This window comes from Homo sapiens, chromosome 2 (assembly GCF_000001405.40).
Source record: "Homo sapiens chromosome 2, GRCh38.p14 Primary Assembly".
NCBI classification, from domain to species: domain Eukaryota; kingdom Metazoa; phylum Chordata; class Mammalia; order Primates; family Hominidae; genus Homo; species Homo sapiens.
This window is the reverse complement of record NC_000002.12, coordinates 45688040-45704679: the sequence shown is the minus strand read 5'-3', so window position 1 is coordinate 45704679 and position 16640 is coordinate 45688040. Positions and strand designations below refer to the sequence as shown.

General features: G+C 44.5%; 1 protein-coding gene across 19 annotated transcripts in view, besides 2 other annotated features; it reads right to left on the bottom strand.

Moving 5' to 3' along the window:
- PRKCE (protein kinase C epsilon) overlaps positions 1-16640 on the bottom strand; it is a 536712-nt gene that overhangs the window by 483311 nt on the left and 36761 nt on the right. For 7 of the 19 annotated variants that reach the window (XM_047445094.1, XM_011532971.4, XM_047445096.1 and 4 more), the window contains one exon: positions 6671-6739. The exons of 9 other annotated variants lie outside the window; for them this stretch is intronic. In XM_047445094.1, coding sequence (XP_047301050.1) covers positions 6671-6730 — 60 coding nt within the window. In that variant the 5' untranslated portion in view covers positions 6731-6739. Of the gene's footprint in view, positions 1-3188; positions 4142-4949; positions 6648-6670; positions 6740-16640 lie in introns of those variants that run through there. 3 more of the 19 variants (XM_047445099.1, XM_017004488.3, XM_011532978.3) reach the window with 3 other exon arrangements.
- Positions 4173-4222: an enhancer, noted in NCBI's record as "active region_15689". NCBI's record gives its function as "activates an Ori minimal core promoter by ATAC-STARR-seq in GM12878 lymphoblastoid cells {active_cell/tissue: GM12878}" and the evidence as "EXISTENCE:reporter gene assay evidence [ECO:0000049][PMID:35858748]".
- Positions 8799-8878: an enhancer, noted in NCBI's record as "active region_15688". NCBI's record gives its function as "activates an Ori minimal core promoter by ATAC-STARR-seq in GM12878 lymphoblastoid cells {active_cell/tissue: GM12878}" and the evidence as "EXISTENCE:reporter gene assay evidence [ECO:0000049][PMID:35858748]".

Sequence of the window (16640 nt, the reverse complement as noted above, 5' to 3'; positions counted from 1 at the left end):
AGGCATTTCATCCTCACAATACTTCTAAAAGACTGGCGTGGCGATGCTCACTTTTCAGATGAGGTAGAGGAGGGACCCAGAGAGTAACTGGCAGAGTTAATATTAGGAATCCAGTGACTCTTCTAACAAAGGCCATGTCATGACACTTTAACACTGGGCTAAGGAAACCCCCAACACTCCCAAGTCACATTTCATACAGGAAAATCACTTTAGGATTTGAGTTCTGAACTAGTCTTTACCTGGAGTAGCTAACAAAAAGCAAAGCTACAGGTTCACCCCTTTCTCTGTCCCTCTCTGATTGCCCAGTCCCTGGACAGGGACATAGAGGGAGGGACACAGAAGGTACAGAATATTCAGGGGACAAGAGAAGAAATGAAAAATGAACAATCTACAAACCAGAAAAACCAACCCCAACATACTAAGCCAATAGTTTCCTTGAGATATACTACCTTGAAGAAGCACATATAGATTCTTTTTCCTGTGTTTAATCCTAAAAACAATGAAAGGAGTAAATGGAGGTAAAATGCTAATAATTCCACTATATGCTGCTCCCTGCCATGCCTTCCTTGACCCTTTTCTATTCAGCTATGCATCGCCCATGTGTCTCTGGGCCTGGCACTAAGTAAATGCTCAATGAATGTTTGGTTAATGGATAGATGAATGGGTGAAATAACAGTGTTGTCAGAAATAATGCCTCCTAACCCAGGTGAAATTTAAATCTGCATTACTCTACCCATTTGCTATTTGGAGACATATTTGTCATTTCAATACCAGTAATATAAAACAAGCTATTTTAGCTTTATCTTCTGTGAGCATATGGATGAGAGAATAGGAATTTTTTTGTTATGAGTGAACAGGCTGCATAGTTAAAGATAGTTTTCCAAAGAATGTGACAGAAGCCCAATTATTGTCTTTTAAAAACCAAAACAAAAGAAATGTTCTAGGAAAGAACCTTCACAAGAACAAATGATGATGTCTATTTAGGACAATAAAGGAAAATCCAAAGAAGAATCAGTTCCATGCAGAGAGCCCATGTTTGTCCTTCAAGTGCAAGGTTCTCTGGAGACTCCAAAAAAAAGGTGCCTCTACCGTCAATGAGCTTCCTTTTTTTTTCTTTTCTTTTCTTTATTCTTTTTTTTTTAGAGACAAGGTCTCACTCTGTCACCCAGGCTAGAGTGCAGTGTTGTGATCACAGCTCACTGCAGCCTCAAACTTAGGGGTTCAAACAATCCTCCCACTTTGGCCTCCCGAGTAGCTGGGACTACAAGTACATGCCACCATGTCTGGCTACATTTTTCAAATTATTTTTAGAGATGGGGGTCTTACTATGTTGACCAGTCTGATCTTGAACTCCTGGCCTCAAGTGATCCTCCTGCCTCAGGCTCCCAAAGTGCTAGGAATACAGATGTGAGCCACCACACCCAGCCCAAGGAGTTTTGATTATTCCTTTAAGGGCTAGAGAATAAAATATAGGAGGAAAGCAAACAGCACTGTGGCCTCTAACTCAGGTAGGAGTGACATAACAACAGCCATCAGAAATACAAAAAAAAAAAATAAATAAAACAGAAGCTGAGGACCATGTGTTCCACCTTTACTAAGGACAGCTAAATTTTACAACTTTTAGTTAGGAATAAGGACTGACTTCCTGACGGGGGGGGAAAAAAGGCTTTCTCAAGAAAACTTGATAATAGGAAAGGCTGTTATCTGCCGAGGCTGTTAGCTATGGCCTTAGCAGCTGATCTCCGGAACACTAAGCCCAGAAGTCTTTCTGTGGAATGACTCTTTTCAAACTTCAGTTCTAGCAGAGCTTTTAGCCCTTCTACTCCCAGAGTAAGGTGTTCAAATGGCTCCTTGTAGGGTATGTCTGAGGAACAGTGAAGGAAAGAAATGGAAAAGAGAGGTGGTTCGTGTCCTGCTTGCAATAGCAGAAGCTCTTCTTAGATTCACTTTATATGCTGGGGTACCCCTAGAGCTTTATTTTGGGGGAAAAAAAAGAAGGGTTCTACTATATAATAGTGATTTAGATATCACTATGGTAAAACAGTGACTAAATCTCAATCAATAGTTATTCAACAAATGTTTATGGAACCAGGTACAGAACTGGATGCTTGAAGTAATCCCAACAATCAGCCTTCAGGAGGCATAAAGTCCACCGCTCAGGATAAACACATGCAAGTAAAACTGACCATGCTGACCGAGCGCCTTCTATAACACACACAATAGACTAGGCAGTTTACAGATGCTCTCTCAGCTGATCATCACTATGAAAACTGATTGTAGTGGGTAGGCATGATCATCCCCATTTCACAGGTGCAGAAAGGCTAATAGCTTGCCCAAGAGCTGGGACTAGTATTCCGGGCTGCCCAACACTAAAGCCTCCTTACCAGCTACTAAAACCAGGTAGATTTCCACATCTGTATCTGAGCGGAGGACTCCCATTTTCAAGTGCATAAGTCATCTTTGTATTGTTTTTTGTTGTTGTCGTTGTTTTTTGAGACAGTCTCGCTCTGTCACCCAGGCTGGAGTGCAGTGGTGCGATCTCAGCTCACTGCAACCTCTGCCTCCCAGGTTCAAGTGATTCTCCTGCCTCAGCCCCCTGAGTAGCTAGGATTACAGACACGTGCCACCAAGTCCGGCTAATTTTTGTATTTTGAGTAGAGAAGAGGTTTCACCATGTTGGTCAGGCTGGTCTCAAACTCCTGACGTCAGGTGATCCGCCTCAGCCTCCCAAAATTCTCAGATTACAGGTGTGAGCCACCGCGCCTGGCCCATCTTTGTATTTGTGTTGTGACGGTGAGTCCTAAATTTCAGATACTAAGAGAAGAAGGAAAAAAATAATCTAGACTCGTCGGTGTCTCTAAGAATCCAGATGTTTTCTAAAACACCTGTGTAATAGGTGAGGCTTTATCAGACTAGAATTTACATGGGAATGGGAAGCAGCCTGGAGCACCAGGAAAAATTCTGTTTCCATCTGGGGCCATGCCTGGGTGAACCTAGGAGGTGGGCAAAACAAGTTTTCTTCACTGCATTATCTCATGTGGGGTGCCCTCCTCTGTACTTCAGGCCTTTATTGCCTTGGTAAGCTCTGTGCTCTCCCACCTTGGTATCAAAATCAAAACTGCCCTCAAAGAAGAATCTGGAGATCTATCATTTACCTGTTAGTATGTCTTCAGGTCACTGTTACCCACCTGCATTTTAAAGCTCTGTCTTCTGATGAAAGGGCTGGAGACCTCATCATAGGGTAACTGATGGGAGCATTTTTTTCAGCACAGGTAAGTAAAGGATTCTCTAGGGTGACTGCAAATTTGATAGACAGATAGATAGGTGGATCAATCAATAGATAGATAGGTAGCATCCCAATTTAACCTTTGAGTACTTCCAATTTTTCCAAAAACACACAAAAAACAAACCCTACCCCATCACACACATAGAAAAATAAAATGTGCCCGTTTTCTACCCAATGAGACAAGAGTAGATACTGTTCATTGAGCACCTATTATGTTCCTGGCCTTGTTCTAGGTATAAATATATTCTACTTCATCTTCAACACAATCCTTCTTTGTCCTTCCTTCCTCTACTGTCTTAGTTTCCTAGGGCTGCCACAAAAAGGAACCACTAACCAGGTGGCTTAAAACAATGGAAATGCCTTCCTTCCAAGTTGTTAAGGTCAGAAGTCCAAAATCAAGGTGTTAGCAAGGCCACACTCCCTCCAAGGCATCTAAAGGAGGGTCCTTCCTTGCTTCCGCCAGCTTCTGGGAGCCCCAGGCATTCCTTGGTTTACGGGAGCACAGCTCCTATCTCTGTGTCTGTCCTCACGGGGCCGCCCTCTCCCTGCATCTGCCTCTGCATCTGAATTTCCCCTTCTTATAAGGACACCAGTCATATTGGATCCGAGCCTACCCCAGTGACTTCATCTTAACTTGATTACATCTGCAAAGACCCTGCTTCCAAATAAGGTCACATTCTGAAGTACGGGGGGATTAAGATTTCAATGTCTTTTTCTGCTGGGACACACTTCAACTCATAGCACCCACCTGTGAGAGGGTGATGACCTCAAGGTCACACAAGGTCTAGGTCGAAGCCAAGTTTAGTTTCATTTCCTAGATGATCCTCAGTCAAGCAGAAGCACAGACTTGAATATCTGGAGGAAATTTATTACATCAAAGAATGACAGTGCCGGGCTGCTTCTACTGTTCCTTCTGCTTCAGACTTCTCTCCCTTCCTCACCGAACCAATCCTGTCCTCCTTGGCCTCTCAGCTCAAGCATACCGACCAAGGAGCCCTCTCTGACCTCCTAGACCAGCTCAAAAACCCCTACCCAGGACCTCTGCTTACCATCTATGTCTCCCTCACTGCCCTCCTCACCACCCTTAGTTTTCCATTTCTTTGGGGGTTACTTCATAGATGTCTCTCTTTGCCATCAGACTTCGAGTGCTGCAAAGAAAAAAGACCTCTCTATATTGCTCCCAGGTGTGTTCTCACCTCTCCACCGAGACCCTGGCTCCCGGCAGGGCCTCAGATGTTAGCCCTCTGCTACTTAAAAGGAAAACTCAGGTACCCATTTCATCCTCAACCCCAGGCGGCCTGGTTAGTTAACTGCCCCCGTTCATCTTGTGGCTCGTGCCTTCTGCCTTCCACTGGTGGGCTGGGCCTGGCCACTGCCTCCCCTCAACAGCCCAATTTACACCTAGAAATCACAGGAAAACCAGAGAGCTATCACCCCACCTGCTACCCCCTGCACCCCTCAGCTCCCCACACTTCCTTGATCTCATCAGTGTGCAAAACGAGCACCCATTTCTCCACTCATCAGACACAAGCGGCGGCATCCACACTGGTGCCTTCCGGGATTCCAAGAGAATCACACCTCCCGCATCAGCCCACAGCAACAGCACAGTCTCCTCTAAGCCACTGCTCTCTAAGGACCCAACTGTATACCTTTACCACCTTACCCTGTGCACACACATCTCCAGATCTGCTTCTGAAATCCTCCAGGACCATAAAAAAACAAGACTGGTTTCCTTGGGAGTCAGCTTTAAACAGTTATTAAGGCTAAAACAAGTTTGGCCTCTGTACAGATGACAGCAGAGCCATGTCTACAGTGACCCACACAGCATGGGGGCTGGTGCCCCTCATCCTTCACCAGCGGCCCCTCAACCACACAGACGGGCTCTGTGTGGTGTCACAGAGGAAGCAATCTGGCTATTCCTTCACTTTGTAACTCATGGTTAACTCATTCACTCTGACTCAGCCAACCTTTACTGAGCTCTGATCAAGTCAGCGAAACAATTTGAGTCACTTGAGAGACAGAGAAAGAAAAAGGCCTACTTCACTGCAATATTTCAGCATCTTAACTCTGAGAAGCTACAGACAAAGACACACATAACAAGAAGGCAGTGGGGTCAGTGTCCCAGCAGAGGTCCGTGCAAAAGGCTGCTGGGCCCTGCAGGGAGTGACACCTCTGGGGATTAGGGGGAGCCCCTCCTTTGCCTGCTAAGGACGAACAGCAGACAGGGAGGAGGACAGGAGGGAGTTGGGGGCACAAGGCAGAGCTTCCAAGCAGAAGGAAAAAAATATATTATGGGAACAGCAAACCACCCCACCTGCCTGAGGTATAAGGCGTCTATTAAAAATAGAAATAGACGAAGCTAGAAAAAATAAAAACTAGGGGCTAGTTTATAAAGAGTCTTAAAACAAGATGACAAGATGTAATCTCTTACCACTCCTTGGCAATACATAAATTTTAACCTACTACTGATGGTGAATTTCTAAGTCCATGGATGTTAATTCTCCCAAAAGGGAGGGTAACCACATGTACTTTCTATATCAAAAGTCTGTTCTACTCCCCTCTAAAGGCACACCAAGCCCTAGGAAATCCAGACAACTCCCTCCACAAGTCTGTCCTTGGCCACCCTCAGGGCATTCTCAGATTGGCTGTTTTTCCAGATGGCTTCCTAGGATACATGGCATTTGCAATCAGGCCCAGATACAAGAATCTGGATTTTAAAAACTGGACCTCATCCTTGTTGTTTCCTACTTCCATTGCTGACACCCCTCCCCCTCTCTTCCTCTCTTTCCTCTTCCTTTCTCTCTTCCTTCATATATTTTTTTTTCTGTGCTCACTGTTGTTTGCAACAGCTGTTGAAATTCACATATCTGGGAAGTCCATTAACTTGCTGTTTACTGGAGCTCCACATCATTAGCAGAGATGGGCAAAATCGAGCCTCTTATACCCCCATCCACAACCCCCAGGGAGCCAGGTCCCCACCGGCTGGGGACACTCCCTCTAAATAGCCCTTCCCTTCACTTTCACCCCCAACTGGAAATTTTTGTTTTATATCCAGCCAGACTACATTCATTTTGCTAAAATACAATTCTAAATATGATTTTAGGATGCTGGTAGAAAATGATTCCACCAAATTCACCTACCACCAATCTGGGTACTTACATATAAATCTATAAAGTAGATCACTACGTTGCAAAACCCTATGCTAACCACTTTTCCAGAACTTGCCCACAAAATGAGCGTGTGCCACCTAACCTGCGGCCAACAGCCACATTCGCATGTGGCACCCAATGGAGCATTTGTGAAAATAAAGCCAGCACAAACTGACGTCCACTAGAATCTTAGCTGCTTGGAAATTGAAAATAAATCTACATGGAGTTGACATACCCTCAGGAGCTCACTGGAAACTGGTCTCTGTCTTTCTTCTGTCAAAGGGCTGCTTTCCATTCACCCTGTCTAGGAAGATGTGTGCAAGAGTGTTAATATTCTCAATTTCTTCCAATGTAAAAAAAAACTACATCCAATTAAAGAATCTGGGGATAAATTCCACCTGCCTGCAAGAATCCCTAGGTGCTAATCCATTTTAAAAAGCTTGCTGGAAATTGGGGTGGTCAGCAGAGGTAGTCTGTCCTTTCAGTCTGGAAATGGGAACCTCAAAGTAAGAGAGGGGCTGTGAAACAGGAAGTAACTTCCAGAAAGCTCCTGGGAACAGAGGCAGGTTGGAGCCAAGGGCCTTCAGGTGAAGATGGCACCTGCAGGGATGTCACCTAGGGAGGGAGGTAATCAGAGCCGGAACAAAAGAAAGAGCTAGAGATGCCACCCACATAGAGATGCCAACCAGTCCACCCTGAGTGAAGAGCAGAGCCTGTTCTCTGTCCCTCCAATTCTTTGCTTTTGCTGGGGAGCCTCGGGTTGCCATTTCCACTCTGGTTTGGTTTTGTTTGTTAGTCCTTATCTGTCCTGGCTAAATAAATAAAATGGATTTTCACTCATATTTTGGCCAAAAACAATAGAAGGTCAGAGCGCCATTAAGAGGCAGAGAGGGCAACAGCGTCAGCCAGACCAGAGCTCTCCAGATCCCCCATAAAACCTCCGGACCAGAGCCAAGCAGAATGTGGGCAGCCAGGAGGGCCAGGCCAGCCAGTGGGGTGCGCCCCCTCTTCACCTACACAGGCCCTCCCAGGTAGAGCATGGACTCTTTGAAAGGACGATGCAGTCACTGTCAGCTACACTAGAGCATTTCATCTTATTTGGAGGCATGTTCCTAAGTATTAGAACAACATCCACCTTTTCCAATCAGGGGATAATCTTTAATATTACCATGGACATTAATGTAGTCACAAAAAGGTTTGCTTTCAGCTCTGCACCAAACATGGGCCTTGGTGGCAAGTACAAAAGCCAAGGGGGAAAGAAGACCTGGAATAAAAAGGAAGTGGGGTGTGGGGCCCTGGGAGGAAAGCAGGTCTGTGACTGGGGGCTCTGGTCATGAGACCAGTCACATGATCAACACAGTCCCCAGCAGTCACTTCTAGGTCCTCACCAGGGCTTCAAAGCCTCTGAGCTCTGCAGTGAGTCTAAAAGTCTAATGAAAAGCTTGTTATCAGGATGAGAGGCCGCATGGTGGCCAGATTTCACTCTGTGGAACAATGTGACAATCAGCATTCTCAACTTCCCATGAGAAGATTCTAGCTGGGTAGGAAAACTGAGAATCAGGTTTCTGGGCCTCCGCTTACCGCCACAGACTCCAAAGCTACTCGTCATGCATTTTGCTTATTCAGAAAAGCCTGTTTCGAACCCAGTGAAAAGATGAAGCTGAGTAGCAGCTTCACCCACCACACAGCCCTGTGGGGAGGCCAACACCAAACCCAAAATGTAAAATGGAGAGATCAGGGCAAAGACACACAAAACTCCTCAAGGGAAACTCGAAGTGAGCAGGCCAGGAGATGGGTGCACTTCCACTGCCTCCTGCCAAATGCCCCAGGGACCTGTAAAACAAGGTGGCTCTTTTGGGGCCCTGGCAATATAATTTATTTAATTATAAAAAAAGGCTTTATTCCTGTTAAATATGTAAATATGTAAAGACTGTAAATATGTATTCAATAGAAATAAAGCCTTTTTTTATAATTTAAAAAAGTTATTTCGGCCAGGTGTGGTGGCTCACACCTATAGGCCCATTGCTTTGGGAGGCTTAGGTGAAAGGATCACTTGAGGCCAGGAGTTCAAGACCAGCCTGTGCAACACAGAGAGACCCCTGTTCTACAAAAAAAAAAATTTCTCACACTCTGGGGACTGTTGTGGGGTGGGGGGAGGGGAGGGATAGCATTAGGAGATATACCTAATGCTAAATGACGAGTTAATGGGTGCAGTACACCAGCATGGCACATGTATACATATGTAACTAACCTGCACATTGTGCACATGTACCCTAAAACTTAAAGTATAATAATAATAAAATAAAAAAAGAAAAATTTTAAGTAATTATTCTAACCACTGATGTGTACAATAAACTCTTGTCAGCCTGACGTTAAAATCTGTTTCTTTTTTCTGCTCTCCACCCTCTTCCCCATGAGACCTTGCATCCTACAAGCATGGTACATATTCTACTAGTGGTTTCTGTTTTGTTTTTGAGACGGAGTCTCACTCCATTGCCCAGGCTGGAGTTCAGTGGCGTGATCTCAGCTCACTGCAACCTCCGCCTCCGGGTTCAAGAATTCTCCTGCCTCAGCCTCCTGATTAGCTGGGATTACAAGCACATACCATCACACCCGGCTAATTTTTGTATTTTTAGCTGCAATAAGGTTTCACCATGTTGGCCAGGCTGGTTTTGAACTCCTGACCTCAAATGATCCACCCACCTCAGCCTCCCAAAGTGTTGGGATTATAGGCATGAGCGACCATGCCCAGCCTATTATACATATTCTATTATTGTTATTTTAGGATTTCTTCAAGGATTTCTGTGATGGGTAGTTATTTGGTGAAGTGGTGGTACATTTATCTAACACATACACCATCTCCCTGCAGAAAAGGAAAGAAAGACTGTAATGAAGTTGACCTCTCTACCTCCAGCCTGACTCTGGGTTCTTTTCTGTGGGTGGTGATGGTTTCATTAAAATCATCGCGGGAACAGAGAAAATCCAAAAAGGAATGTCACCAAGATCCTTAGAGGCTAAGGGGAAGAGACCAAAGTCAAGAAGAAGAGAAAAAAGGAGAAACACTGAATAACAGATTTTCCTCCTCAAACTTTACAATAACCTTCCTTCTGTACAGTTTGAAGGAATACATCCAAGCTGCTGGGAGAAAGTTTCCTGACTCAGGAAAAACAGGGAGAAGGAACTGCCACCTTGTATGTGTCTCACAGGGGCAGAGGGCAGGACCAATGCATCTTACATGAGGCAGTTGGCTCTTTATAGCCAAACTGAAGGAGAAGGGAGAGGCAGGTCTCTTTCCAAAACACCGATCTCCTCATGTGATCCCTTCTCTTTAACTTCTAGTAGCTCTCAGCCACTCTCAGGAAAAAGCCCACACTACTCAGCCTGATATTTAAAACCCTCCACATTTCAGGTTTGTCCTACCTGATTACCATCCACCCCCAGATACACTCTCCTGTAGTCTGCCAGTCTTACTGTCTCATGGACACACCACATTGCTTCCAGCATATTGGCCATCCACCCAAGATGCTATTCCATGTCTTACCCATCTATCCAATCCACCCACCATTCGAAGTCTCACTCATGTCCTCCCTGAACCTTTCTCAGCCACTCTAACCAACATTGACTTTGCCTCTCCTTCCTCAACCACACAACTCATTCATATGCATTTCCCAGGGAATTCTTGTCTTGCCCACTAGCATAGGACAGGCTGTTAGTCCCACATAAGTTCCATGAAGACAGGAAACCTGTTCCTCTTGTGTCTGTTAGCACTTAGATGGGGAAGGCCTGGAGTGAAACCTTTGGCACCCAATAAACGTGGCATGGGGTTGAAGTCATATACTCCATGTTCCCTGAACCCATCCTCACTTTTCTGCCCATCATCCATATCCAGATCCAAAAATTCAGATCTAGAGAGAGGCAGGGGCGAGGGCAAAGCATAGTTCTTCCCCTGGATGGTGATGAAGGGAAAATAATTGCTATTTCCAGCTCAGGCTCCTACTGTCGTTTCCTAGATGAGACATTTTACCTGGCTTTAATACTTGACGCTAGAGAAAGCCTATCTAGAATGCCAGAGCTCCCCTTAGTTCTGGAAATGGCCACAAGAAGCTATGGGAAGCTCTTGGAGCTGAGGTGTAAGCCTCTCATCCTCATATCGTTAGGATACAGCAGAAATAAATAACCACAAAATCTGTGTCCACGGGTCAAAAATTCCATCCCCCAGGATTAAGGTGGCTGGAAGAGTGACCCTCACGGATTAAACATTTCCACACGAGTCGGACTTCTTTCACACCACGACTCCCTATCTGTTCCCTAACTTCCCTTAAGTCTCAGTCAAACTTCTCTCCCTGCTATGGATCCTAGGACCTGCCATCTTTTCCAGAATTCGCCTTATCAATGTACTGTCCTCTCTATCTTCCTCCCTAACTAAAAATTCCTTCTCTTTAACCTGCTTCTTCAGATGTCCATGCCTTCTCACTTCTCCTTGCCAAACCTCTCAGGGGTGACGGTCCACCCCGACTGCCTTATTCTACCTCTCCTTAACCTCTTGCAATTTGGATTCTGCCCCAGTCACTTTGTGGAGAGTTTTCTTGAGACCAGCCTCTCAGAGAGAACATCAGCTGTCAGATCCGACAGCCTCCTCATTTTCCATTATTTTCAGCTAGCTCAAGACAGGACCCAGCCCTGCTGGGTGACCATCTCCTCTCGACCTTCCTCCCTGCCCTTCCGGCCTGCACCATCTCCTACCCATGCCTCGGGGCATTCCCTAAACCTGGGCCTTGCCCTGCTTCTCTTCTGTCCACTTTCTCTCCAGGTCACCTCAGCCACCCCCATGGTTCCAACCATCACACTGCCATTCTCACCTCCAGCCCTGGCCTCTCTTCCAGAATGCTAATCTCGAGTTTCTCACTTGGTGCTGGGCATCTACACTGGAGCTTTAATGATCTCAGATTCAACATCTTTACAAGCAAACTTATCTTCCTTTCAAGTTTACTCTCTGCCTGAACCCCCTATCTTGCCTAAATAAAGTCTTCACCTTTCTCCCAATCGGCCCTTTCAGGAAGTCTGAGGGTCGCCTCTGACCTTCTCCCACCCACCCATCCATTGCCACCTCCCACCTACTTCACTCCCCTACCCCGCACTCCTCAGGATCTGTTCCTGACTTCTCATCCCACCACCACTTCCAAGTTCAGGCCTCCTGAGCCACCTTGGCCCCCTGCAGAATCTCTCAGTCAGCCTCAAGTCTCCAGCGTCCAATCCTTCCCTTACACATTGTTACCAGAAGCATCTTCCTTCCCAGGCCAGACCAAAAGTGCATCCATGACATTGCTCAGGTTCAGCTTGAAACACCCTGCACGGCTCACTTCTCTACAACTAAAATTCCACTCATCCCTCGAGCCCACATGCCAGGGCAAACTCACCCACAGAGCATTTAGAATGGACCGATTCTACATCATGTGATAGATGTGTGTTTAGTGTGGGGTGGAGTGGGGTGTGTGTGGGGGTGTGTGTGCATGGGTGTGTGTGTGTGTGTGTGTGTCCTCCCTTGGACTCTTCAGCACAGTGCTCCGGCCCCTTGTAGCACTGATTCCATCATCTTTTCCATCAGTCTCCCTCACTGAATTGGAAGCATCTTGAGGACAAATGGTTTTATGGGTTGAATTGTGTCCCCTAAAAATGTATGTAGAAGTCCTAGCCCTCGGTACTGATGAATGTGACCTGATTTGGAAATATGGCCTTTGCAGAGTAATCAAGTTCAGATGAGGTCATTAGGGTGGGCCCTAATTCAATGACTGTCCTTATAAGAAGAGGAGAAGACAGGGAGAGGAAAAGGGCCCTGTAAAGGCAGAGCAGGGAGCAGAGCGGTGCTAACACAAGCCCAGGAGTACCTGGGGCTACCAGAAGGTGGAAATGACAAGAAAAAACTCCCCGACATGTTTCAGAGGGAACATGGCCCTGCCAACACCTTGATTTAGGACTTCTAGTTTCCAGAAGTAAGAGTCATAAATTTCTGTGCTTGTAATCCACCCAGTTTGTGGTGCTTTGTTATGGCAGTCCTGGGAAACTAAGACAGGTGGGAGCTGCATCTTATTTACCTTTGTAGACTCCTCACTGTCCATAGAGCCCTTAAAACTCATTAACTTCTTGGTGAATTCATGAACAAAAATGAACCATCCACACCAAGAAACTTTTTCCATGAGTGAAGGTTTTTTAAAAAAATAACCTCTGAAGCTTGACTGTTATTATTAACACTGAAACTATCATTTTCCTAAGATAGAACAACGGACACATAGTCAGTAGAACCTCAGAGCGGTGTGTTGTGTCCAGAGAAGGACAAAGATGGGCTGAGTTCTAAGCCACCTGTACCCTCTTCACCTGGCTTCCCATGCCTCATGGAAATGCTGGCAAAGCAGTTGGCTGGGCCTGCAGGTGTCCGCTACAGGAAAGAGTGCCGCCTCCATGCAAAGCTGTGACCTTGTACTCATTAGCACAGGGCTCTGTTCCACTGAGCTAATGACCTCAAATACCAAATACCAGCAGCAGAAATTAGATTCATTAAAGGGGGCGTGGGGAGGGAAGGCTGATAAAAACTGTCTCTCTTCACACACGAAGTGGAGTATAATGATAAGATGCCAATATTGATACTGATGCACTTTCAAGTCAACGAAGCGGATGCCTGAACTGAAAGCCTTTTAGGAATGAATGGACTGGGAAGAACACTACTGAATGTGCCAGACAGTTAGTTATTCTCTTTTCTCTTTCTTGCACAAATGCTAAAAACCAATATATTGAAGGCATTCCAGAAAAACCTTTGATGGACAGAGGGGAAACACTCCCTGAGCCTGCGTCACTCAGTCTGCTGGTGTCCACCAGCTTGGTGGCCATAAATAATTCTCATGAGTCACAGTGAAAATCCACAGTCTCTCTGGAGACACTGCAGACCAGCAACAGGTGCACCCAGCCTGTTCCTCTGAGGAAATCAAATCTGAGGGTGGCAAAATGACTATTCCTGCCACGGAAATGCAAACGGCTCATTCTTCCTTGCACAGATTGTAATGGAGAACCGCCCAGCCCACTGACGGACACAGCTCGCTGGTTTCCAAAGGCCCCATTCTGGCCTGGTTACAGCTTTTAGAACCTTAGTCCTGAAACTTAATGCTCCCCATGTATGTAATTTTAAATAAATCTAATCCTAAGCCATAAGAGAAAGAAATCCAGCGAAGTTCAGGCTTTTCCCATGATGGCTATTTTGAAGCTTTTTGGTAAATATTAAACATAAAACTATTTCCAAAATAAATTTGCAGTGCCCTGACTTTGCTGGCACCCTAAGGTATGTGCTGTATCTGCTTCAGAGTAAGCCAGCATGGCCCATGCCAAGTTGTCCCTAAACTCTGGGAACTCTGGGAGCACCTGGATGGTCTATGATTGCCTTTCCACTGGTGCCCCAGTCCAGCCCTAAAAAAGTACATTGGTCTCTTCACTTCAGATCATTATACAGAGAGGGAAAATCACTCAAACCTTCTACCTCTCAAATTCTACAACTCCCTTTCTTCCAGCTCCCACACGATATACACAGCCTTCTCTTTAAGAGGTTCATCTGTAACCCCAAATGACTTTTTAACATTTAAACATGAAAAACCTCTTACATGTATATATTGCTTTAAAAGGCAGTGCAGTTTTTGTCTCCAATCTGATTTAATCTTTTATCAGTGACCCAGTCACCAACAGGAACAACAATTCTCACACGGGTAAAATTGACAATGCAAGAGGCCTGTCTCCACTGTGAATAAATGTGCTTCCTTCGCCCCCTGCCTCTGCTGACATATGGACCAGTGTTTTCAGCCCCTGCTTTGCACCATACATGTCAGTGGTCAGGGACCAAGAACAAATGGGCCTTTATCCCCCAAGAGAAGCAGCACATGTGATTTGCAACAACTATTTTTTTTCTTACTCAGACATCTCAGACATCTTTTTAACTTAGATGTTACAGTCATAGAAATTTAGAGCTGCAGGGAACTGAAGAGAAGATTTATGAAATAAATGAAGTATTTACCAAGATTCTAGTTCAACTAAGTATTGAACTATGGATTACTACACTGAAGAGTCTTTCAGAAGAAGAAAGCAGATCAATATGAGACTATCATAACAATTTCCAAAATTGGTAAGTAACAAAAGCAAGAAGCAGGATAGTGTGCATGATTTTCCTGTTTGTTTCCAAAAGACATATGCATAAGTTTATAGAATGCACAGAGTATTTCTGGAAGGATATCCAAGGAACTAGTCTCTAGAGAGGGAAGTGGGAGTCTGTGATAAGGGGAAGACAAGCATTTTTTTTTTTTTTTTTTTGAGATGGAGTCTTGCTCTGTCACCCAGCCTGTCACACCAGTGCAGTGGTGTGACTTCTGCTCACTGCAACCTCTGCCTCCCAGGTTCAAGTGATTCTCCTGCCTCCACCTCCCAAGTAGCTGGGACTACAGTCACACACCACCATGCCTGGCTAATCTTTGTATTTTAAGTAGAGACAGGGTTTTACCATGTTGCCCAGGCTGGTCTCAAATGCCTGACCTCCCTCGGCCTCCCAAAGCATTGGAATTACAGAAGTGAGCCACCACACCTGGCTGGAAAACAAACTTTTAAGCATTTACTTTTTCACTGTTTGAATGCTTTGCTATGTATATTTATTAAATTAAATCTTTTCTTAAATATTACAAATATATAAATATATAAAATATATAAAAACAAATAAAGGATAGATTACATTATCAATTTTTAACAAGGGGAGAGACTTTGAAACTGTCTAATACCTTCTTTTCGCCAATAGGAAACAAGGTATAGAGAATGGGATTGGGGGTCGTGGGAGGCCGGACCCCTGGCCATTCAGTTCAGTTCAGTTCTTTCTATTCTTCCACAGCACTTTCTGATTCATGATCACGTTCTGGTTACCCAAGGTTACCTGAAATCTGTTCCCCAGTTAAATAAGGCATCACTGTTCTTTATCTCACTTATATGACATGCTTTCAACTCGGAATCTGTGATCTAGACTTTTTTGTAAGTCAAATTCTATTCCGAATGTGCCACAAGAGCTGTGCTTAAGTCCCTCCCTTCTTGTAAAGCAAATAAGTGATCCCTAACTTAATAGGCTTCTTTAACCCTGCTCTTCTTTTATGAGGTTTGCTTTAAACAAAGCACGCCCCACAGCACATTCATACCTACAACATTTTGTTCATTTTTCCTTGTGTTCTTATGTTCTGGCCACATTAGCTCTAATCTGATTTGAAACATGAGCTCCCAAAAGGCCAACATCAAGTCTCTTATGTTGTGGATGAGCAACCAACGATTTGTGCCTCATACAGGCAATTCAGAAGCTTACTGATAAGAGAGTCTCTGGCTAATGCACATTGATCCAAGGACAAGGAGCACTTGCAGTAGGTGCAATTGATAAAATTATCATAACAAATAATTAGAAAGTGTATCCTTGCAACCCAGATAGGAAGCTTTATTTCAAACCTGTTCTCTGTTCCTTATTTTTCTTGACTTACCAATGCAATAGCTGAAGTGTTACATAAGTCAGGGAGAGTCTAAATACTTGGTCTCTTTCAAGAAACCCACAAAAACAACAGAATCATTTGGTGGTTTAGGCATTCACCATTAACAAAGCCCAGACTGATGCTCAATTCCTTAGGCATAATATATTCATCCAAGTTAAATTCTTTTCATTTTGCTAAATTCTAGCCAGTGCAACTTATAAACTCACAGAATGGTTATTTTATTAGAGTTTGTTTTGGGGTTAAGGGGGAAAAAAAGAAGAAAAACCTAACACAGTATCTTTAAAATAATATTTTAAAGAAGAAAAGTGCTTACAACCAAAGTTTGAACATCCATGAATCTCAGCTTACCCTCTTCTGATATGTACCCCTTTCTAGACAGTTAGCAGCCATGACATCTTACACTAGGGAATTCTTAATTTTTTTAATACTAAAAAAATTTACCTGCCCAGCCATTAATTAATTGAAAATATTTCCTTCTGGCCTCCAACTGCTCAGGGACCTCTCTTAGCAATTTCCTCACCTATAATTATGCTGATGGACTGTGTAACAGGTGGCATCATTATCTGAGTCAAATTAATGTTGGTGTGAACATAATGTTGTCAAATATAAGGGATTCTTATTTGCTGGGTGTCAAGAAAATGGCCCTAGAGAAACTTCTCC